General features: G+C 48.9%; 1 protein-coding gene across 8 annotated transcripts in view; it reads left to right on the forward strand.

Annotated features, from left to right (window-relative positions):
* IL34 (interleukin 34) overlaps positions 1 to 24104 on the forward strand; it is an 80784-nt gene that overhangs the window by 6330 nt on the left and 50350 nt on the right. For 4 of the 8 annotated variants that reach the window (XM_047433648.1, XM_047433651.1, NM_001393493.1 and 1 more), the window contains exon 1: positions 4101 to 4172. The exons of 2 other annotated variants lie outside the window; for them this stretch is intronic. The gene's annotated coding sequence lies outside the window, so the exon portion shown is untranslated. Of the gene's footprint in view, positions 1 to 4100; positions 4173 to 10738; positions 10825 to 24104 lie in introns of those variants that run through there. 2 more of the 8 variants (XM_047433650.1, XM_047433649.1) reach the window with 2 other exon arrangements.

Raw genomic sequence — 24104 nt, forward strand, 5'->3', positions numbered from 1 at the left:
TTCCATCTCTTAGCTATTGCGAATAACGCTTCTACAAACATGGGTGTACAAAAATCCCTTCAAGGCCTGGCCTGGTGGCTCACATCTGTAATCCAGCACTTTGGGAAGCCAAGACGGATCACTTGAGTCCAGGAGTTGGAGATCAGCCTGGGCAACATGGAAAGACTTCGTCTATACAAAAGATAACTGGTGGTGTGTGTGCCTGTAGTTCCAGCTACTTGGGAGGCTGAGGTGGGAGGATTGCTTGAGCCCTGGAGGTTGAGGCTGCAGTGAGCTGTGTTCGCGCCACTGCACTCCAGCCTGGGTGACAGAGCAAGACCCAGCCTCAAACCAAACCAAACAAAAACAAATGTGTTACCACTCAGAGGAGCCTTAGTCCTAAGGCTCTGCCAACCCCTCCCGTGGTGAGGGGCAGAGTGGCGTGGGGTAGATGTGGGGTAGAGAGAAATGGCAGGCACCGTCCTGGACCTGTCCTCCAGCCTGGCATTGCACATCTGCTGCTCACTGAACGCTCACAGCTCCTTGCAAGGTGCAACTGAGTCTCCCCCATTTTACAGATGAAGAAATCGAGGTACAGGGAAGTCTCCCAGCTTGCCCACGGTCACGCAGGCGGGAGGTGGCAGTGATGAGATGTGACCCCAGATGGGCTGTGCCCTGATTCACCTGTGGCGGCCACCTGGTTTGGTCACCTTGCTGGAGGGCCCCCTGCTTTCCTGCAAGATAATCCAAGATGTTGCGGGCTCATTTGGGGGCTGCCGAGCTAGCCCTGGGGCCCTGCTCCTGCCTGCGTGAGATGGAGGCCCCTCCCAGAATGCTAGCTAGTGTCAGGGTCAAGTAGGTCAGGGGGATCCAGGGGCTGGGGTTAGTCTTGCAACTCTCAGGGGTGGTCTCCTTTGGAGTCACTGCCTCCTCCCTAGCCAGGCCCTGGGTGGAGATCAATGCTGGAGGCCCTAGGGTGGCCACTGAGCCACCCTAGTGACACAGCGAGGATTTGTGGGGATGGGGGCTGCTGAGAGCACCACACAGCCGCAGACAGCGCTGAGTTTTGCTTTTTTTTTTGAGACAGAGTCTCACTCTGTTGCCCAGGCTGGAGTGCAGTGGCACAATCTGAGCTCACTGCAAGCTCCGCCTCCCGGGTTCACGCCATTCTCCTGCCTCAGCCTCCCGAGTAGCTGGGACTACAGACGCCCGCCACCACGCCCAGCTAATTTTTTATATTTTTTTAGTAGAGACGGGGTTTCACCGTTTTAGCCAGGATGATCTTGATCTTCTGACCTCATGATCCGCCCGCCTCGGCGTCCCAAAGGGCTGGGATTACAGGTGTGAGCCACCGCGCCCCGCTGACAGTGCTGAGTTTGAATCCCAGCTCTGCCACCTGCCGCCTATAGGACCTTGGCAGAGTCACCATGCCTCTCCAGTCCTACTTTCCTAAGCTTAAAATGGGGAAAAATACACAATCTGCCTACAATACACTACCCCACACCCTTCAGGATGGCTGCTATCAAAAAAAAAAAGAAAGAAAGAAAATAGCCGGGCGCAGCGGCTCATGCCTGTAATCTCAGCACTTTGGGAGGCCGAGGCGAGCAGATCACTTGAGGCCAAGAGTTTGAGACCAGCCTGGCAAACAGGGTGAGATCCTGGCTCCACTAAAAATACAAAAATTAGCGGGCTGTGGTGGCACACGCCTGTAGTCCCAGTTACTCAGGAGGCTGAGGAATGAGAATCACTTGAACCCAGGAGGCGGAGGTCTCAGTGAGCAGAGGTCGCGCCACTGCACTCTAGCCTGGGTGACAGAGTGAGACCCTGTCTCAGAAACAAACAGAAAACAATATGTGTTGGTGGGATGTGGAGGAACTGGCACCTTGAGCACAGTTGGTGGGGATGTTAACTGGTGCAGCTGCTGTGGAAACTAGTTTAACTGGTGCAGCTGCTGTGGAAACTAGTTTAGTGGTTCCTGAAAAAATTAACAAGTAGAGGCCGGGTGCGGTGGCTCATGCGTGTAATCCCAGCACTTTGGGAGGCTGAGGTGGGTGGATCACCTGAAGGTCAGGAGTTCAAGACCCAAGACCAGCCTGGCCAACATGGCAAAACCCCATATCTACTAAAAATACAAAAATTAGCCAGGCGTGGTGGCACATGTCTGTAATCCCAGTTACTCGGGAGGCTGAGGCAGGAGAATCACTTGAACCTGGGAGGTGGAGGTTGCATTGAGCTGAGATCACGCCATTTCACTCCAAGCCTGGGCAACAAGAGTGAAACTTCATTTCAAAAAAAAAAAACATTAAAAATAGAATCACCATACAATCCAGCAATCCCACTTCTGGATATATACCAAAAAGAACTAAAAGCAGAGTCTCAAAGAGATATTTGCCCACCCATGTTCATAGCAGCATCAATCGTAGCTAAAAGGTAAAAGCAATTCAAGTGTTCATCAACAGATGAATGGAAAAACAAAATGTGCCGTAAATATACACAATGTGGTATGATTCAGCCTTACAAAGGAAGGGAATTCTGACACATGCTACAACGTGAATGAACTTTGAGGAAATCAAGTGAAATTAGCCAGGCACAAAAGATAAATACTGTATGATTCTACTTATGTAACGGAGCCAGAGTAGCCAGGTTCATAGAAACAGAAAGTACAATGTTTCTATGGTGGTTGCCAGGGGCTGGGGGTGGGGAAGGAGGAATGGATATAAAGTTTTGGTTTTATAAGATGAAAAGTTCTGGAAATGGATGGTGGTGATGGTAACACAATAATATAAATGTATTTAATGCCACTGGGAAAAAAATGCTAGCTGAGAGCGGTGGCAAAAATGCTAGCTGAGCGTGGTGGCGGGCACCAGTAATCCCAGCTACTCAGGAGGCTGAGGCAGGAGAATCGCTTGAACCCGGGAGGTGGAGGTTGCAGTGAGCCAAGGTCACGCCATTGCACTCCAGTCTGGGGAACATAGTGAGACTCTGTCACACACACAAAAAATAATAATAAGAAAAGAAAAAAATGGTTAAAATGGTTAATTTTTTTTTAACTTTTGTTTTAGATTCGGGGGTACATGTGCAGGTTTGTTACACAGGCAAACTCATGGGGGTTTGTTGTATTTCATCACCCAGGAATTAAGCCCAGTACCCAATAGTTATCTTTTCTGTTCCTCTCCCTCCTCCCACCCTCCACCTTCAGATAGACCCCAGTGTCTGTTGTCCCCTCTATGTGTCCCTGAGTTCTCATCATTTAGCTCCCACTTATAAGTGAGAAAGTGCAGTATTTGGTTTTCTGCTCTGTGCTACTTTGCTGAGGATAATGGCCTCCAGCTCCATCCATGTTCCCATAAAAGACATGATCTCATTCTTTTTTATAGATGTGGTACATTTCACCTTATGTGTTTTTTTACCATGATTTTTTTTTTTTTTTTTGAGACAGAGTTTTGCTCTTGTTACCCAGGGTGGAGTCCAGTGGTATGACCTCAGTTCACCGCAACTTCAGCCTCCTGGGTTCAAGTGATTCTCTTGCCTCAGCCTCCCAAGTAGCTGGGATTACAGGTGCCCGCCACCACGCCCAGCTATTTTTTGTATTTTTAGTAGAGATGGGGTTTCACCATGTTGGCCAGGCTGGTCTTGAACTCCTGACCTCAAATGATCCGCCTGCCTCGGCCTCCCAGAGTGTTGGGATTACAGGCGTGAGCCACTGCACCCGGCCTTACCATGATTTTTAAAAACAAACGAAAAAATAGTAGATCCTTTACAGGGTTCGTGAGGACAGGATGAGGCAACGCATGTGAACTGTGTTATTAGCCTCAGGTCTGTGGGAATACAAGGCTTTCTGCCTTCGGGGAGGTGTTGCTGGAGAGATGGACAGACCCACCCAGGGGAGGGGCGTCTGTGTCCCTGTGGAAGTCATTACTCCATTCAGCAGAAGCTGCTCACGGCGGGAGAGGGCTGGGGTTCAGGGAATCCTTCCTGGAGCCGTGATGGGGCCCTGCTTGGGGGATTCCTAGCATGTGTGGGATGGGCAGATTCCAGACATTGGAAAGTCCCTGGCAGAAAAATCACTCCCACTAAGGGGCAGTTGTAGGGAAGAGATTTGGGCTCACGCTAGAGAACTCATGATCAGAGATGTCTGCATGAGGAACAGAGGCTGCTTTGTGGATTGGGGAGCTCCCCATTAGCGGAGGCAGGTAAGGAGGTGCCTGTGCGAGGTGGGGGTGGAGCCAAGGCTGTGTACCTCCGACGCTGTGCACCTCTCTGATGGGACCCAGTCCAGACAAAAATTGTATATAACAAACCCTTGTAAAGGTGGTGCTCGGGTCAGAGGGAGGGGGCAGCCGGGTGGGAAGGCTTGTCCCAGGTCTAGCCCAATAGTGCGGAAGTAGCTGGTGCTGTTTTCACTGGGCCAGGTGCTGTGTTAAGCTGAACAGGCTTGATCTCAAATCCTCACCATAGCCCTGTGCGGTAGGGGCTGTCAACACCTGGGAACCAAGGCTCAGAGGTTAAGTCACCTGCCCAAGGTTAGCCAGCAGCTGGCGTTGCTGGGATTCGAACCCAGGCAGTCCGGCTTGAGCCCTCCATCCTGGGTGGAAGTCTCCCAAACCCGTCCCCCCGCAAGCTGGCCTCTCCCTGCCCCCGCCCCTGGCAGTCAGTTCCTGGGGTCAGGGGTGCCCTGCCACCCCCACAGTACAGATGTAGCTGCTGTGCCCTCCCCGTCGTCAGTGCGCTGCCCCTCCCTCTGGCTGCCTTCACACTGTCAGCGCTGGCTGCTCTGTGCAGTCAGACCCGGCCCCGGCCCCAGCCTGCTCGGGTCTCCGGGGTCTCAGGACAGCACTGTGGGGACCATGCCAAGCGAGACTGGGAGAGCCAGGCTCCGTGTCACTCAGTGCCTTCCTTCTCCTGCCATTCAACGAGACACTCCTAATAACTCTCTTGCAGGCCTCTAAGTCTGTCCCATAGCTGTTGAGCTGATTTTGCCTTTTGTGCAACTGTGTTTTCCAACTCAGCTCTCTGGGTGCCAAGACCTTGTCCACATGATTCAATCTGTCCAACTCCAACCTGGCCCCTGATAGGCCATAAATACCATTCCTGATGGCAGTGATCCAGTGCCCTCCTTTGTCCCCAGAGCTGAGGCAGGATGACCACCACGCTTATAGCTAGGACAGAGGGTGACTCTGGCAGGGACAGCAGTTTATCCAGAATGACCCAGTTAGCCGGGCGTGGTGGCACGTACCTGTAGTCCCAGCTACTCAGGAGGCTGAGGTGGGAGGATCGCATGAACCCAGGAGGTCGAGGCTTCAGTTAGCCATGATCACACCATTGTACTCCAGCCTGAGTAGTGGAGTGAGATCCTGTCTCTTAAAAAAAAAAAAAAAAAAAGAATGGCCCTCACCGTCCTCCCACCCTGCCCCTGTTAGCTTGCCTGGCAGTCACCTTGTATGGAGGCACAGGGAGCTGTCATTTACCTCTGTGCCAGGCAGGGTGCTCAGCCCTATACAGGCACCATCTCCCCGGATTCTTACAGGGCCCAGCTGGTGACGTGCAGCTGATATTCCCATACTGCAGATGAGGAAACTGAGGATCAGAGAGGTTAAGTCATGCCTAGGAGCCTGGCTTCTCCCTTCCCCCTGCTGTTGCCCTGAGGCTCGGTGCTGGGGCTGGGCTGGGGCCAGGCTGGGGCCAACGGCAGTGGTGTTTGTGCTCCTTGCTGCTTGGAGGAGCAAAGTGCATTTGATCTTTCTCTTCTCACCACTGTCCTGGGTGGGGGCCCTGGTAGTACTAGGTAGTGATGAAGAAGCTGCTTAGGGTCTCCTCCAGGGTTCCACAGTGGGAAGGGGCATGGGGGCGGCGGGGAGGTGGTGGTCCTTCTACTCCCCCCACCACCTGCTCCAGGTTCATTCTTGTCTCTACCATACTGGGTCACTCCATAGCCCTCCTCCTGGCTTCCCAGGCCCCACTAAAGCCATACAATGCATAAAGGCCAGCAGACCTGCTGGCCCGGCTGAGGCTGGGCTGGGGCCAGGCACTTTCCAGTGTCTTGTCACAGGCAGGAAACCTTTGTTGGATGATGTCACTGGAGCGGGTGCCTCCTGTTCTACTCGCCCTCGTTCTTCTCCCCAGTGCACCCCACCCTGACCGCCTCCTGAGGTGTAATAGAAGGCCCCTCCTCTCTCTGCCCATGAGAATCAGGTAGCAACATAACTTTTGACTCTCATGCTGCTGTGGGTTCTGGGACCCTTAACCCAACCCTGGAAGGTGTGGCTGTAATCCCCAGAGGAGGAAGCTTGGCAGGCTCAGGGTTCTGAGACTTGAATCCTGGGCTGTCTGCCTGCAAAGCCTATACCAGTTGCTGAATAATTATTTTAAAAATAGCTTTTAAACTTCCTTAAAAAAAATCAGTAGACTTTTACAAAGCAGTTTTATTTATTTATTTATTGGTTTATTTTTTCTTTTTCTTTTTTTGAGATGGAGTCTCACTCTGTCGTCCAGGCTGGAGTACAGTGGCGCGATCTGGGCTCACTGCAGCCTCTGCCTCCTGGGTGCAAGCGATTCTCCTGCCTCAGCCTCCTGAGTAGCTGGGATTACAGGCACATGCCACCATGCCCAGCTAATTTTTGTATTTTTAGTAGAGACGGGGTTTCAGCATGTTGGTCAGGCTGGTCTTGAACTCCTGACTTAATGATCTGCCCGCCTCGGCCTCCCAAAGTACTGGGATTACAGGCGTGAGCCACCGTGCCGGCCCTATTTTTTAAATTTTTCTTAAAAACACAGTTTTATTCTTTTTCTTTTTTTAATAAATAGAGACGGGGTTTCACCATATTGGCCAGGCTGGTCTCGAACTGCTGGCCTCAGGCGATCCTCCTGTGTCAGCCCCCTAAAGTGCTGGGATTACAGGCATGAGCTACTGCGCCTGGCCCTATTGTCCATTTTTTAACTGGGTTGTTTGTTTTCTTATTGTTGAGTTTTAAGAGTTCTTTGTATATTTTAGATACAAGGTCTTTATCAATATGTCTTTTGCAAATATTTTATCATTTTTCCTAGCAATAGTGTCTTTTGCAGAGCAGAAGCTTTTAATTTTAATAAAGTCTAATGTCAATTTTTTATTTCAAGGATCGTGCTTTTGATATATAGAAAAACATCACCAAACCCAAGATCAGCTAGATTTTCTTCCTATGTTATCTTCTAGAAGTTTTATAGTTTTGCATTTTATGTTTAGGTTCAAGTTTCATTTTGAATAAATTTTTGTGAAAGGTCTAAGGTCTAAGGTCAGACCTTAGAATCAAGATTTCTTAGTACCTAGTTTGTTGTTGTTGTTGTTATTTTTTGAGACAGGATCTCACTCTGTTGTCAAGGCTGGAGTGCAGTGGCATGATTGTGGCTCATAGCAGTCTTGAACTCTGGGCTCAAGTGATCCTCCCACCTCAGCCTCCCGAGTAGCTGGGACTACAGGTGCATGCCACCATGCTGGGCTATTTTTTTTGTATTTTTTCTTTTTTTGTGGTGATGGGGTCTTGCTGTGTTGCCCAGCCTGATCTCAGACTCCTGCCCTCAAGCAATCCTCCTGCTTTAGCTTCTTGGAGCACTAGGATCAGAGGTGTGAGCTAGTGTACCTGGCAATATCTAGATTTTTTTCTTGCAGGTGGATGATCAATCATTCCAGCACCATTTGTTGGAAAGACTATCCTTTTTCCATTGAATTGCCTTTGCTCCTTTGTCAAAGATCAGTTGACTATATTTGTGTGAGTCTATTCTTGGTTCCCTATTGTTCCACTGATCTATTTGTCTGTTCTTTCACCAATACCACACTATCTTGATTGCTATAGCTTTAAGTAAGTCTTGAAGTCAGGGAGTGTCAGTTCTCTAATTCCATTCTTCTTTTTTGTGTTGTCCTTCTAGGTCTTTTGCTACTCTGTGTAAACTTTAGAATCAACTTGTAGATATTACAAAATAACTTTCTGGGATTTTTATTGTGTTGCATTGAATCTACAAAGTTGGGGAGAACAACCATCTTAACAATATTGAATCATCCTATCCATGAACATGGAATATCTCTCCATTTATTTAGATCTTTGCTTTCTTTCATCAGGGTTGTATAGTACTCCTCATACAGATCTTGTACATATTTTGTTAGATTTATAGTGAAGAATTTTATTTTTAGGGTGCTAATATAAATGGCATTGTGCTTTCAATTTCAAATAGGTAATATGTGCATACAGTAAAAACATTCAATAGAGAGAGATTGGTTTATAGTGAAAAGTGGCTTCCTCTACTTCTCATTCCCTAGGCCTCCATTCATCTATCCAAAGACAGTTACTGATGCCTGGTTCTTATGGGTCCTTCCAAAGATTGTATGTGTATATTCAAGCTCTAATCTAATTCAAGCTCAATATCTAATCCTCACAAGAATTCTGCCTGGCAGGTCTTATTATCTCTGAGGGAGGGTCAAGGGCCCAAAGAGGACTTTCTGGGGAGGACTCTCTTCCTCTTCAAGAGCTCAAGCAGAACACACTGGTCCTGCCAAGATCTAGGGGCAGGGCTGCTACTGCTCAAGGCCAGAGGAAACAGGTTTTGGAAGGGAGGGCTTCTTGCCAAGCCAGTGGGTACAGATGAGGAGGAGGTGAGGAGGAGGCTTTGGGAGGCTGCCAGTCTACTCTGGGCAGATTCATATCAAATATTCTAGGCCTTGGGAAACCCTCATATTTCCAGGTGGCTGCATTTCAATTTATCTCTCTCTCTCTCTCTCTCTTTTTTTTTTTTTTTCTGAGACAGAGTCTCCCTCTGTCGCCCAGGCTGGAGTGCAGTGGTGCGATCTCGGCTCACTGCAACCTCTGCCTCCAGGGTTCAAGCAATTCTCCTGCCTCAGGCTCCCAAGTAGCTGGGGTAACAGGCGCCCGCCACCACACCCAACTAATTTTTTTTCTGGTATTTTTAGTAGAGATGGGGTTTTGCCATGTTGGCCAGGCTGGTCTGGAACTCCTGACCTCAGGTGATCCGCCCACCTCGGCCTCCCAAAGTGCTGGGATTACAGGTGTGAGCCACCGTGCCTGGCCTGCATTTCAATTTCTTAGTTCTGTTTCCTCTCTAGTTTTCTTCTCCTTCTTCTTTCTCCTCTAATTCCTTCTCCTTCTTTTTCTTCTTCTGAGACAGGATCTCACTCTGTCACCCTGGCTGGAGTACATGACTCACTGCAGCCTTGACCTCCTAGGTTCAATTAATCCTCCTGCCTCAGCCTCTCGTGTAGCTGGACCACAGGTGTGCACCACTGTGCCCTGCTAATTTTTATTTTTAATAGTGATGGGTTCTCACTTTGTTTCCCAGGCTGGTCTTGAACTCCTGGACTCATGTGATCCTCCCACTTCAACCTCCCACAGTGCTGGGATTACAGACATGAGCCACTGCGCCAGGGCTCCTCTCTCATTTTGTAGGAACATTCTTCTGGGGAGTAGTCTAACCTTGTTTGGCTGACCTCAGGAGAAATGGGATTTGTCTTAGTCTGTTTGGGCTGCCATAAGAAAATCCGGCTGGGCGTGGTGGCTCATGCCTGTAATCCCAGCACTTTGGGAGGCCGAGACAGATGGATTACTTGAGGTCAAGAGTTCGAGACCAGCTGGGCCAACATGGTGAAACCCCATTTCTACTAAAAATAAAAAATTAGCTGGGCGTGGTGGTGTGCACCTGTAGTCTCAGCTACTCAGGAGGCTGAGACAGGAGAATTGCTGGAACTTGGGAGGCAGAGGTTGTAGTGAGCTGAGATTGTGCCACTGCACTCCAGCATGGGCGACACAGCGAGACCCCGTCTCAAAAAAAAAAAAAAAGAAAGTTGTATAGACTGGGAGGCTTGTAAACAACAGAAGTGTATTGTTCTAGAGCCTGGGAAGACCAAGATCAAGGCGCTGACAGATTTGGTGTCTGGTGTGGGCCCTTGTCCTAGGCGGCTGTCTTTTCCCTGTAGCCTCAGAGGCAGGAGGGGTGAGGGATCTCTCTGGGGTCTCTTTTATAAGGGCACTAAATCCATTCAAAAGGCCCACCATCACGACCTCATCATCTTCCAAAGACTTCACCTTCTAATACCTTCACCTTGAGGTGATGAATTTTGGGGGAGACACAGATATTCAGACCATAGCAGCATTTATTTATGCCAAGACTAAGACTGCCCGGAAAGGTGGCTAGGGCATCTCCAGAGGCACAAAGAGGACCGTGGTCATGACAGGCTGTGATATGGAGCCAGGGAGCGTGAGTTGCTGCAAAGCAGGCATCTGAGTGGCAGATCTGGGCCAAATCAACTTCTCCCCACGTCTTCCTCCCAGGCTGGAGGTGACTGTCTTCCACATGGCGTTGGGCACACTGGCATCCCATTTCCCACCACTGCCTCAGAAACTGGAGCCCCTGAAGCCACGCATATGCCTCTCTGTACCCGTCCCCCACACCCTGCCAAAAATATTTGTGCCCAGTTGCAGTGGGGGTAGAGCGACTATTGCCTGTGTGTGTCATGCTTATAGTAATGGTAGCTTACCACTGACTGCAAATTTCATTCCCTCTTTATTAAAAAAATTGGTTTTTTGTAGAGACAAGGTCTGGCTATGTTGCCCATGCTGGTCTCAAACTTCTGGTCTCAAGTGATTTCCCTTGGCCTCCCAAAGTGCTGGGATTACAGGCATGAGCCACCGCGACCAGCCTCATTTCCATTTTACAGAGGAGGATGGGACTCTGAAGCCAGACCTGTACTTGTACCCATAATACTCCATTGCCTCCACAGGGTCCCAGCACCCAGGGTATAGGCACGCTCAGTAGAGGCCGTCCCCAGCTCAACCTGTTTGTATGTGGATCACTTGAGCAGCTCAGGTGGGTGCCTGCTGCTTAACCCTCCTAGTGAACTGAGCCCCTTCTCCTCCGTTGTGCTCTGGGGTAGTTCCCAAGTGACACTGCTTTGGGCCATTACTGACTTCCTTATTTCCTAGGGGCCCATCTCCTAAAGTGAAGTTACCCCCTCACAGAGTTCAGCCAGTTTTTTAGCTTTTTTTTTTTTTGGAGACAGTGTCTTGCTCTGTTGTCCAGGCTGTAGTCCAGTGGCACGATCATGGCTCCCTGTAGCCTTGAGCTCCTGGGCTTAAGCGATACTCCTGCCTCAGCCTCCCATGTAGCTGGGACCACTGGCACATGCCACCATGCCTGGCCAAGTATTAATTTTTTCGTAGAGATGGGGTCTCTCCATGTTGCCCAGGCTGTTATCGAACTCCTGGGCTCAAGTGATCCTTCTGCCTTGGTCTCCCAAAGTGCTAGGGTTAAAAGTGCTGGGGTTATAAGTGTGAGCCACTGCCTCTAGCCCAGTTTTTTAGTTCTTGTTACAAATTGCCAAGTAAGGACTAATCCAGAAAGACTGGAGTATTTTGTCAATGAACATGTTTCAAACATATGTATCTCTTACAAAATGCAGCTGTTTAATTCCTAAAGGCAGAATGTGTTTTCTTACATGATGATGTACACTCTATACAAATGTAAGCAGTGTGTTTTTTAGCCCCTGCATCTATTAAATGGTATCCATTTTGTTGTCAAGGAGCTGATTCTTTATATAGCTGTCCCTCTCCAGAATAGGCCAGGAAATGCCTGGGTGGCCCAGGCCCTGGAGATGCAGTTCTTTTTTTTTGAGATGGAGTTTTGCTCTTGTCGTCCAGGCTGGAGTGCAATGGCGCGATCTTGGCTCACTGTAACCTCTGCCTCCTGAGTTCAAGCTATTCTCCTGCCTCAGCCCTCCAAGTAGCTGGTAGCTGGGACTACAGGTGCCCGCCACCATGTCTAGCTAATTTTTTATATTTTTAGTAGAGACGGGGTTTCGCCATGTTGGCCAGGCTGATCTCAAACTCCTGACCTCAGGTGATCTGCCCTCTTCAGCCTCCCAAAGTGCTGGTATTACAGGCATAAGGCACCGCGCCTGGTTGAAGGGACAGTTCCTTAAAGGGTCTGAGATGCTTCTCCATCTTGGCATGGCTCAAACCGTCTGCCCCCCAGAACTTCCTGCCAGGCCCTTCCAGGCACACCATCCTCCATTAGCGACCTCTTAGAGGTCACCTTCCTATATCACAGGACTTGAGGGAATGGTTGGTGTCCTGGCCTCTAGCTTTTGCCTCCAGTTCACCTTGCATATTAGTATTTCATAAAGTAATGTTTTCCTCAGGCCGCGCCCCTGCTCAAGAACCTGCACTGCTCCTGGTGCTTCTGTCAACTAAAGAAAAAAAAAATCAATCTTTTGGCTGGGCGCAGTGGCTCACACCTGTAATCCCAGCACTTTGGGAGGCCAAGGCTGGCGGATCACCTGAGGTCAAGAGTTTGAGACCAGCCTGGCCAACATGGTGAAACCCCGACTCTATTAAAAATACAAAAATTAGCCAGGCATGGTGGCGCATACCTATAATCCCAGCTACTTGGGAGGCTGATGTAGGAGAATCGCTTGAACCCAGGACACGGAGGCTCCAGTGAGCCGAGATTGCACCACTGCACTCCAGCCTGGGCGACAGAGTGAAACTCTGTCCATAAAATTAAAAAAAGAAATCATTCTTTTAAAGAATGAAAATTAGTTTTATTCAGAAGTTTTACTGAGGACGATAGACGGATGCCTGCAGTCCAGGAGCAGTTCTGTCAGACTGCTCTAAGGCAGTGTTTCAGCTCATAGCTCAAGCATAGGCAGTGGGGGTTCAGAAGGTGCAAAATCACATCAGGCCTGCTCAGAAGTTACATTAAAGTAGAATCACATCAAGGTTGAGTGTAAGAGTCCATCCGGTTATAGATTAGAGGCATTATCACTAACCTTGTAAGATGTTATCTCATGTTCAGCAAAAGGCAAGGCTAGGGTCATGCATGTTTTAAGGAATATACTGACTCAGGCAAGAGATGGTGGGGGTCAAGTGCTCTATCCTGTTTTGTCTTCAAGCATCTTTCTGGAGAGCCGCACGTTGTCAGAGAGCCAAGGGGCTTTGTGAAATTCTGCTGGCAAGCAGAAATGAGCAAATAGGCCTTCTTAGGTTTATTACTTTGTCTTATACCTGTTATGTCAAGAACTGTTTCTTTCTTTCTTTCTTTCTTTCTTTCTTCTTTCTTTCCTTCTTTCTTTCTTTTCTTTCTTTCTCTCTTTCTTTCTCTCTTTCTTTCTCTCTTTCTCTTTCTTTCTTTCTTCTTTCTCTCTCTCTTTCTTTCTTTAACAAATTCTCATGGTGAGATCTAGGCTCACTGCAACCTTTGCCTCCCGGGTTCAAGCGATTCTCCTGCCTCATCCTCCAAAGTAGCTGTGACTACAGGCGTGTGCCAACACGCCCAGTTAATTTTTGTATTTTTTTTTTTTTTTTAGTAGAGACGGGGTTTCGCCATGTTGGCCAGGTTGGTCTCAGGTCTCGAACTCCTGACCTTCAGGTGATCGCCCGCCTCGGCAGTCCAAAGTGTGCTGGGATTACAGGAATGAACCACTGCACCCGGTCTTTTTTTTTTTTTTTGGAGACAGGGTCTTGCTTTGTCGCCCAGGATAGAGTATAGTGGTGTGATCACAGCTTACTGAAGCTTCGACCTCCTGGCCCCAAGCAATCCTCCTACTTTAGCCTCCCAAGAAGCTAGAACCATAAGCACACACTACTACACCTGGCCAGGTTTTTAATTTTTAATTTTGTAGAGATGGGGTCTCCCTATGTTGCCCAGGCTGGTCTCAAGTTCCTGGGCTCAAGTGATGCTCCCACCTCGGCTTCTCAAAGTGCTGGGATTACAGGTATGAGTCATGGCACCTGACCCTGCTTGGCTTCCAAGTCCCTCTGTAGTCTGGCCTTGTCCTGGCTGTCCAATGTAGAGTCCCCTGACACCCTGACACGGCTTCTCTGTCCCAGACAAACCCAACTTTCTCCTTGATGTCCTGAGTGTCTGCTATGTGAGCTTCATCTCCATTCTTTGTTCACTTTATCCCCACTTCTCTCTTCACATGTCTTCTCTCGTTCCTATTTTCCACCCTTCAGCCTCTAGTGTAAGTCTCTACCCCTCTCTACCCCCTGCCACAAAGCCTGCTTGACCACCTTGGTCAACTCTAATCCATCCCTTCTCCAATCACCTCTTTCATTTATTGTCCACACCACAGAGATTAGCCTTGAACTGTTTTGTAGATGTTCTCTGGATTGGCCTTGAAGATCATCAACTACCCTATGATTTCCATAAAGGCAGAGAACTGAATCCCATGTCTAGGATGGTGCTAGGCACATGGCACCTGCTTACCAAACATTGACAGAACACAGCGCTGCACATGGAACTATTCTGTAAGCCCCAAGCAAGACATGAAATGCACAGTGGGGCTCTTAGTCTTACCACATTCTACTAATTCTAACTTCCCCCTATCTTAGCATCCCCTCTGAAATTAGGATCAATGGTGTATCATAATTTAATTGGCAGTTTCCCCACATCTTTCTCAATGGTGCATAAAATAATGTGCATTTTACAATCAGTCGTGCATTAGGCTTGACGAAATGAGGTGTAACTGGTTGATATGACAATATGTTGGTAGCTGTTTCTGGCTTGGACGTGGAAAAAAGTATTTGGGAGAAACAGGGAATGCTGGGAGAGATGGGGATGCTGGGAGAAATGAGGAGATGCTAGGAGAAGCAGGGGATGCGGGAGAAATGAGGGGATGCTAGGAGAAGTAGGGGATGCTGGGAGAAGTAGGAGATGCTGGGAGAAATGAGAAGATGCTGGCAGAAGCAGGGCTGCTGGGAGGAGTAGGGGATGCTGGGAGAAGTAGGGGATGCTGGGAGAAGTAGGGGATGCTAAGAGACGTGGGAGATGCTGGGAGAAGTAGGGGATGAGGGGAGAAGTAGGGGATGCTGGGAGAAGTGAGGGATACTGACAGAGATGGAGAATACTGGGAGAGATAAGGAATGCTGAGAGAAGTGGGGGAGTGCTGGGAAAGGAGGTGAGGGTGCCCTACTGGGCCCAGAGTTTCTGAATCACTCTGCATGGATTCAGCATTCCTCCTCTCCATTCTCCTGTCCTCTGTGCATGTGCTGCCTCAGAGACTGACTCTTTATTTATTTATTTAAAAATAATAAAAAAAAATTGTAGAGACAGGGTCTTGCTATGTTTCACAGGCTGTTCTTGAACTCCTGGCCTCAAGGGATCCTCCCACCTCGGCCTTCCAAAGTGCTGGGATTACAGGTGTGCCCCACCAAGCCTAGCCTGATTCCTTCTTTTTCTTTTTTTGAGACAAAGTCTTGCTCTGTTGCCCAGGCTGGAGTTCAGTGGCACAATCTCAGCTCAGTACAACCTCTGCCTCCTGGGCTCAAACAATTCTCCCACCTCAGCCTCATGAATAGCTGGTACCACCCTGCCCGGCTATTTTTTTGTATGTTTAGTAGAGACGGGGTTTTGCCATGTTGCCCAGGCTGGTCTTGAACTCCTGACCTCAAGTGATTTGCCTGTCTTGGCCTCCCCAAGTACTGAGATTATAGGCATGAGCCACTGCCATCTGGCCCCAATCCCTTTTTAATCAGAAGCCAGCTCCTGCTGGGTTTCCCAGCAGCCCCAGGTGGGATGGGGACAGAGGGAATGAAAGGCTATCTTCCCTTACCTGGGAGGGGCCTTCTCATGGCCCTGGCAGAGCCAAGGATGCCTTTGTCCAGTTGGCTGCCTGGCCGGAGACAAGGACACTGAGCTGCCAGTCCCAGCCCGAGCCCAGACAGAGAGGGCTTCAGGGAGACCGAAGGGCAAGGGCCACACACTTTCCAGCTTTTGAGGAGGTAAAGATGGCAAACCCATCCATGGTGAAGTTGAATTGCTCCTCTCCAGGCCCAGCAGCTCTGGGCTACAGCTGGAGTGGACTGCCCTGACAAGCTCAAGGTAGGGCATGCAGCTCCTGTGTTGAGACTCTGAAGTTGCAGGACTCAGGTCTCCCTGCTCCAGTGCCAGATCCTCATGGTTGCAGTGAGCCGTGGAGGCCAGGCTCCTTTGGCCTCACAATCAGGCTTTTGAGCTGCACAGAATTGCTGGGCTGGGGGAATGTGGTCTCTTCCTTTGCTTTCAAACCATTGCTGGGATGTAGAGTGACAGCAAGAGCAATCTAGATTTCATACTTGCTCCCCAACTTGCCAGCTGCGTGGCTTTAAGAAAAGTTGCCAAACTTTCTGAGCTTTGGTTTCCTTATCTTTAAAATGAGGGTGAGCCGGGAACAGTGGCTCATGCCTGTGGTCCCAGCTACTCAGGAGGCTGAGGTGGAAAGATCACTTGAGCCCTGGAGGTTGAGGCTGCAGTGAGCCACGATCATGCCACTGCACTCAGGCCTGGGCAACAGAGCCAGACCCTGCCTCAAAAATAAAATAAATTAAAATGAGAGTGAGAATTCCTAGCTTTGGAATTGATGTGTGTGTGTGTGTGTGTGTGTGTGTGTGTGTGTGTGTGTTTGTGTTGGGCGAGGGGTGGTAGCCATAGTAGGGAGGGAGGATTAAATGACATAAAGTGACTAACATTAACTATTAATTAACTAATTATTTAATTTTTAGAGATGAGATTTCCTTATGTTGCCCAGGCTGATCTTGAACTCCTGAGCTCAAGGGATCCTCCTGCTTCAGTCTCCCATGTGGCTAGGACACTAGGTGTGCACCATGCCCAGCAGATTTTATTATTGTTATTATTCTTATCTTTTTCCCTGTAGTTATTCTATTCCAGCGGAGGTAGCCTTAGCTTTGTCCTGGGGGCCACCGCCAGCATGAGTCCATGTTTCACGGCCCCCAAACATCCCTGAAATGAGGTAGCACCATCTCTGTGGCCCGCCAACCCCAGCCCTGAGTGGGAGCCCCGGCTGTTTTTCTCTCATTCTATTAGTTTTTCCGTGAGCATCTCCTATGTGGCCACCAGGGAGCTGGGCCCCGTGACTGACATCTGCGCTGTAGTTCCACTGGAGAAAAAAAAGACAAAAAAATCAATGCAAAAACAAGGAAATGTAAGAGACAGTTCTTCTCAGCCAGATGGAAGATTAGATAGTTTGGAGAGAAACACTATAAAACATGTTCAAATTTAGATACAACATAATAAATATACCATTTATTTATTTTTTATTTGTTATTATTTTTTTGAAATGGAGTTTCGCTCTTGTTGCCCAGGCTAGAGTGCAGTGGTGCGATCTCGGCTCACCGCAACCTCCACCTCTCGGATTCAAGCGATTCTCCTGCCTCAGCCTCCTGAGTAGCTGGGACTACAGCCATGGGCCACCACGCCCAGTAAATTTTGTATTTTTAGTAGAGATGGGGTTTCTCACGTTGGTCAGGCTGGTCTCGAACTCCTGACCTCAGGTGATCCACCCGCCTCAGCCTCCCAGAGTGCTAGGGTTACAGGTGTGAGTCACCGTGCCCGGCCTATTTATTTTTTAGTGTCAGGGTCTCACTCTGTCACCCAGGCTGGAATACAGTGGCATGATCTTGGCTCACTGTAGCCTCAATGTCCTGGGCTCAGATGATGATTCTCCCACCTCAGCCTCCTGAACAACTGGGAGTACACACAGGTGTGCACCACTGTGCCCAGATAATTTTTAAATTTTTTCTGTAGAGACGGGTTCTCATCATGTTGCCCAGGCTGGTCTTGAACTCCTGGGCTCAAGCAGTCCTCCTGCTTCAGCCTCCCAAAGGGCTGTGATTGCAGGTGTGCACCACTGCACCTGCCTGATTCTTTCTATTGCTGAGGAGATTCCATCGTATGGACATACCACAATTTTTTCCCTGGTTGATACATGTTAGCAGAGAAGATTTGCCAGCCCTTGACTGTGCCTGCCTGCATTAATTGCTTTAATTAGTGCAGTGAAGCTCTGAGGTGCCTGGAATTCAGTGGGGCTGCTGTTCCAGTGAAGGAGAAATATGTGAAACTATGAATGAATGATTGATTATTTAATTACAGTTGCCCATCGCTTTGGAAGATATAACAGCAAATCCAACCATGAACCAGAATAGCAAAGCCTGTAAGCCAGGCCCTGGGAGGGGCAGGGATGTCCTCCACCAGCATCCTTTGAAGAGCAAGACTTGAACCCAAAATAAAAAAATGTGAGGCCAAACCTGGGAACAAACCTTTGCAAACAGGGCTTGTGTGCCCAAGACTGTACTCACAAGTGGGGACCTCTGCAAACACCCATTTCCCCTACACCACTGGCCCCATCGAATTTGAGGAGGAGTTTCTCAAGTTCCATTTTTCAGATGAGTAAAGTGAGGCCTGGAGTAAGGAAATGATTTGCTCTCTAGGTCCCAAGTCAGGAAGGGGAAACCAAAACCAGGCATCCAGCAGCCTGTGGGTGTCTGCCTAAGTCCCCACAGCCCATCCTCTGTCTGCCAACACATTTGAAACAAAGATGCTCTGTTCACCAAGAATTCCATTTTCCCCATTGTTCTCCACTAGGGACACTTCTGGGTTAGTCAAAAGAGGGACTGGTTCAGCCCAATCCCTGGCAGTGGATCAGCCGTGCCAGGTCTAGATTGGACTTAAAATGTCAGGAGACAGAAAGGAGTTAGGCAAAGTCCGATAAGGAGCTCCCGGCCTGGGGCCCAGGCACAAAGTGACGTGCAGGATACTTCCAGTAGGCTAAAGGAAGAGCGGGGACCGAGGGCCTGGGGACACAGAAAGGTAGCCCCTTGGAGAGGCTGGCAGCCTCCTGTGGCTCAAGGGATAAAGTCAGAGAGCCTGGGGGTTTGTGTGCATGCATGTGTGTGTGCATGTGTGTGTGTGCATGTCTGTGTGTGTGCATGTCTGTGTGTGTCAGGGGTGGTTCTGCTGCTGGTGAGGGAGGAGGCAAGGCCTCTCAGAACCAGGATTAGGCTGGTGGGGGAAGGGAGAAGGGTGTTTTGCTTATTGGAAACAGCAGGTGCAAAGGGGCTGAGGCCAGTCAGTCATCAGGGAGAGAGGTGGGGACTGCAGAGGTGGAGATCTGACTCCCTGGAGATCCTGGGTCTGTGGAGCAAAGGATCCCGAGAGCCTTGACCTGGGAGAGGGGAAGGCTGTCTGTCCTATGAGAAGAAAGGCTGTTGTGAGTCTCTGACGACAAGAGGCCCCTCAGGAGGTTGAGAAGAGTCCAGGACCCTCTTCCTTCTCATCAAATGCAAGTGTCCACTTCTATGTGATTCAAATTTTTAAATAACTTTTTATTGTGGTAAATACATACATGAAACATGAAACTTACTAGCTTAGCCATTTTTAAGTGTACAATTCAGTCACATCAGTGCATTCACTGTGTTGTGTAATCATCATCGCTATCCAGTTCCAGAACTTTTCATCATCCCAAATGAAACTCTACCCATTAAACAACTCCTCTTCCCTTCTCCCCAGCCCTGGTAACCTCTATGCTGCTTTTTGCCTTTATGAATTAGCCTTTTCTAGATACCTCAGTTTATAAGCAATTTAAGAAAACAGCTTATTGAAGTTCTTTTATTATTATTATTTGTTACAATGAGACCTCTTCTCTCTTCTCTTCTCTTCTTTTTTTTCTTTCATGGAGTTTCACTCTTGTTGCCCAGACCGGAGTGCAGCAGCGCAATCTCGGCTCACTGCAACATCTGCCTCCCGGGTTCAAGCGATTTTCCTGCCTCAGCCTCCTGAGTAGCCGGGATTACAGGTGCCCGTCACCACGCCCACCTAATTTTTTGTGTTTTTAGTAGAGACGGGGTTTCATCATGTTGGCCAGGCTGGTCTCAACCTCCTGACCTCAGGTGATCCACCTGCCTCGGTATCCCAAAGTGCTGGGATTACAGGCGTGAGCCACCGCACCTGGTTTTTTTTTTTTTTTTTTTTTTTAACAATGCTGAATAAAAGGAGTGATGGCAGACATCACTATCTTGTCCTGTTTTAGAGGAAGAAATTTACATGCAATAAACTGCACAAAAGTGCATACTTGATAACTTTTAAATATGCATATTGGCCAGGCGCAGTGGCTCACGCCTGTAATCCTAGCACGTTGGGAGGCCAAGACAGATGGATTGCCTGAGCTTGGGAGTTCGAGACCAGCCTGGGCAACATGGCGAAACCCCGTCTCTACTAAAAATACAAAAAATTAGCCAGGCGTGGTGGTGGGTGCCTGTAGTCCCACCTACTTGGGAGGCTGAGGCACGAGAATCACTTGAACCTGGGAGGTGGAGGTTGCAGTGAGCTGAGATCGCACCACTGCACTCCAGCCTGGGCAACAGAGCAAGACTCTGTCTCAAAAAACAAAAATAAAAATAAATAAATATGTAGATCATAAATCAAGATAGTGAACCTATTAATCACTGCCCAAATTCCCTCAAACCTTCATGCAGTTCCTCCCTGCCGACTCTCCACCCTCAACCAACCACCACCCTCCACCCCCAAACAACCACTGATCTGTCTTCTGTCATTTTAGATTCGTTTGGATTTTCTAGATTTTTTTTTTGAGACAAGATCTCGTTCTGTTGTCCAGGCTGGATTGCAGTGGCTCAGTCATGGCTCACTGCAGCCTTAACCTCCTGGGCTTAATTGATCCTTCCACTTCAGCCTCCTGAGTAGCTGTAACCACAAGTATGTGCCACCATGCCGGGCTAATTTTTGTATTTTTTGTAGAGGCAAGGTCTCACTATGTTGCCCAGGCTGTTTTTGAACTCCTAGGCTCAGATGATCCTCCTGCCCCAGCCTCCTAAAGTGGTGGGGTTACAGGTGTAAGCCATCGTGCCCAGACAGTTCTTTTTATTGCTGAGTAGTATTCTGTTGTATGGACATACTATAATTTTTTTACCCATTCATCTGCTGATGGACATTTAGGTTGTTTCCAGCTTTTGGTGCTAGTCTGTAGACACACAATTGATTTTTGTTATGTCGATCTGGTGTCCTGAAACCTTGCTGAATTCATTTACTAGCTTTACAGTTTTATGGATTCCTTAGGATTTTGTTTTCTTTTCTTTTCTTTTTTTGAGACAGAGTCTCGCTCAGTCGCCCAGGCTGGAGTGCAGTGGCTCGATCTCTGCTCACTGCAAGCTCTACCTCCTGGGTTCACGCTATTCTCCTGCCTCAGCCTCCCGAGTAGCCGGGACTACAGGTGCCCACCACCACACCCAGCTAATTTTTTTGTATTTTTTTAGTAGAGACGGGGTTTCACTGTGTTAGCCAGGATGGTCGTGATGTCCTGACCTCGTGATCCGCCCTCCTCGGCTTCCCAAAGTGCTGGGAGTACAGGCATTGAGCCACTGCACCCGGCTGGATTTTCTATATAGATGATCCTATCATCTGGGAATAAAGATAGTTTTACTTCTTCCTTTCCAATATGCATCCCTCCCCCTTTTTCTGGCCTGATTGCACTGGCTGGAATCTCCAGCACAAAGCTGAATAGAAGGGATTAGAGTGGACATCACTGTCTTGTCTTGATCTTGATCTTGGAGAGCAAGCCTAAGTCTTTCACTGTGTATCCATAATTTTTCGAAGATGCCCCTTTTCAGGTTAAGGAAGTTCCCTTCTCTGCATAATTGGCTGAGTGTTTTTATTGGGGATAAATGTTGGATTTTGTCACAGGCTTTCTGCATCACTGAGATGACCATGTGGTTTTTCTTTTTTTTTTTAATTTTAATTTTTAATTTTTTGAGACAGAGTCTTGCTCTGTTACCTAGGCTGGAGTGCAGTGGCGTGATCTCGGCTCACTGTAACCTCTGCCTCCTGGGTTCAAGCAATTTTCCTCCTGCCTCAGCCTCCCTAGTTGTTGGGATTACAGGCGAGGGTCACCATGCCTGGCTAATTTTTGTATTTTTAGTAGAGACGGGGTTTTGCCATGTTGGCCAGGCTGGTCCCGAACTCCTGACCTTAGGTGATCTGCCGGCCTCGGCTTCCCAAAGTGCTGGGATTACAGGCGTGAGCCACCTTGCCCGGCCGGTTTTTCTTTTTTTAGTTTGTTAACATGGTGAATTATGATGATTGATTTTCTTTTTTCTTTTTTTTTTTTTTTTTTTTGAGATAGAGTCTTGCTCTGTTGCCCAGGCTGGAGGGCAGTGGTGTGCTCTCGGCTCACTGCAACCTCTGACTCCCGGGTTTAAGCCATTCTCCTGCCTTAGCCTCATTTGTAGCTGGGATTACAGGCATGCACCACCATGCCCAGCTAATTTTTGTATTTTTAGTAGGGTCAGTGTTTCACCATGTTGGCAAGGCTGGTCTTGAACTCCTGACCTCAGCTGATCCACCCGCCTTGGCCTCCCAAAGTGCTGGGATTATGGCTTGAGCCACCACGACCGGCCTTGATTTTCAAATATTAAACTAATTTTTCGTTCCTGAAATTGCATATGGGATTAGGAGATTAGGATACAGGGATCTAGGTGCCCCCAGCACATGGTGGGTCTGGTTCCCCAGTAAAACCCAGTTTTGGGCCTGGTCATCTGGTAGAGGGAGGGAGGAGGCACAGATCAAGGGTGGGGAGAGGGCTGACCTCCAGACACTATAGCCTCTGCCGCCAACTCTGAGCAGCACAGGTGAGTCAGCCCAGGTGAGCCTTAGGCCAAGGCCGTGCAGGCGACTGCTTCCCACAGCAGGTTCAGGTGGGGCAGGCTCTGCTGCCTCTCTCTCTTGCCTGGAGAGGCACCTGGGGCTCATCATGGGTTCAGTGTGCAGACTTGCACCTCAGCCTCACGCCTCAGTCTCTGCATCTGGGAAGCTGGGAAGCAGAGCTGGCCCCAGGGAAAGCTCAGGCAGCGAGGAAGGCGGGGTGTGGGGGCGGGTGTTGCCACTCAGACCTGGTTCCAATTGTGCTTCCCTTCTCTGTAAAATGGGGGTAATCATGCCTTCCTTCCATGTGATATGAGCTGATGGTGACAAGCCACTTAAATACATGAGAGGAAAGCATAATTCTTTTATTTTTTATTTTTATTTATTTTTTAAAAATTATGTTTATTTATTATTATTATTTTTTGAGATGGAATCTTGCTCCGTCGCCCAGGCTGAAGTGCAGTGGTGCGATCTCAGCTCACTGCAACCTCCGCCTCCCCGGTTCAAGCAATTCTCCCTGCCTCAGCCTTCCATGTAGCTGGGATTTCAGGTGTGTGCCACCACGCCCACCTAATTTTTGCATATTTAGTAGAGACGGGGTTTCGCCATGTTGGCCAGGATGGTCTTGAACTCCTGACCTCAGGTGATCTGCCCGCTTCTGCTTCCCAAAGTGCTGGGATTACAGGTGTGAGCCACCACGCTTGGCCTGAAAGTGGGATTCTTGAATCTTATGCCACAGCTCGCAAGCTGTTAAGTCCTGGGACCAGTGCTTTTAATCTCTCAGCCTTAGTCTTCTGTTTGTAAAATGGAGATGATGACACCCGGAGGTGTGGGGCTTCCAGGATAAATTAATGTCACTGTGCAGATCAAGCAACAAGCAAGTGCGTACCAAGTGCATGGCACAGCGCCTGGCACCTGGGAAATGCTGGGGGATATTAGGGGATCTCACAGGTGCCCAGAGACAGGTGCACTGAGGCAGAGACTGTCTGGGACTACAGCCTGGAGGTGTATGGCTGCTCTGAGGGGTAGGGATTTATCCTGCCTTGGTTTCAATTTGCAGAGGCCTGTTCCTGAGTGAGTGATATTACCCATGAGGCCAGTGCTTTCAGCAACCCCATGAGGCTGGCATGGTCACTGTGCCTCTTGCAGGTGCCAGTGGGGAGAGAGAAACTCAGATCTATAGCTAGAATTGGAACCCAGATGCCTCTGGATGTTTTGAGAGGTTTGCACCATTTAAAATGTGAATGTCAGGCTGGACGTGGTGGCTCATGCCTGTAATCCCAGCACTTTGGGAGGCCAAGGCAGGTGGATCACCTGAGGTCTGGAGTTTGAGACCAGCCTGGCCAACACGGCGAAACCGTCTCTACTAAAAATACAAAAATTAGCCAGGTGTGGTGGCGGGCGCCTGTAATCCCAGCCACTCTGGAGGCTGAGGCAGGAGAATCACTTGAACCTGGGAGGTGGAGGTTGCAGTGAGCCAAGATTGCGCCACTCCACTCCAGCCTGGGCGAAAGAGCGAGACTCTATCTCAGAAAAAAAAAAAAAAAAGTGAACGTTTTTCCAAGGTAGGAGCTGAGAGAGGGATCTGGGAGAGGAGGGAGGAATCAAAGGGCCAAGAAAACTCTTGGTGGATTCTCTCCTTCATCCCCATCCTAGTCTTG

The sequence above is a fragment of the Homo sapiens genome, chromosome 16 (genome assembly GCF_000001405.40).
Source record: "Homo sapiens chromosome 16, GRCh38.p14 Primary Assembly".
In the NCBI taxonomy this organism is placed as follows: domain Eukaryota; kingdom Metazoa; phylum Chordata; class Mammalia; order Primates; family Hominidae; genus Homo; species Homo sapiens.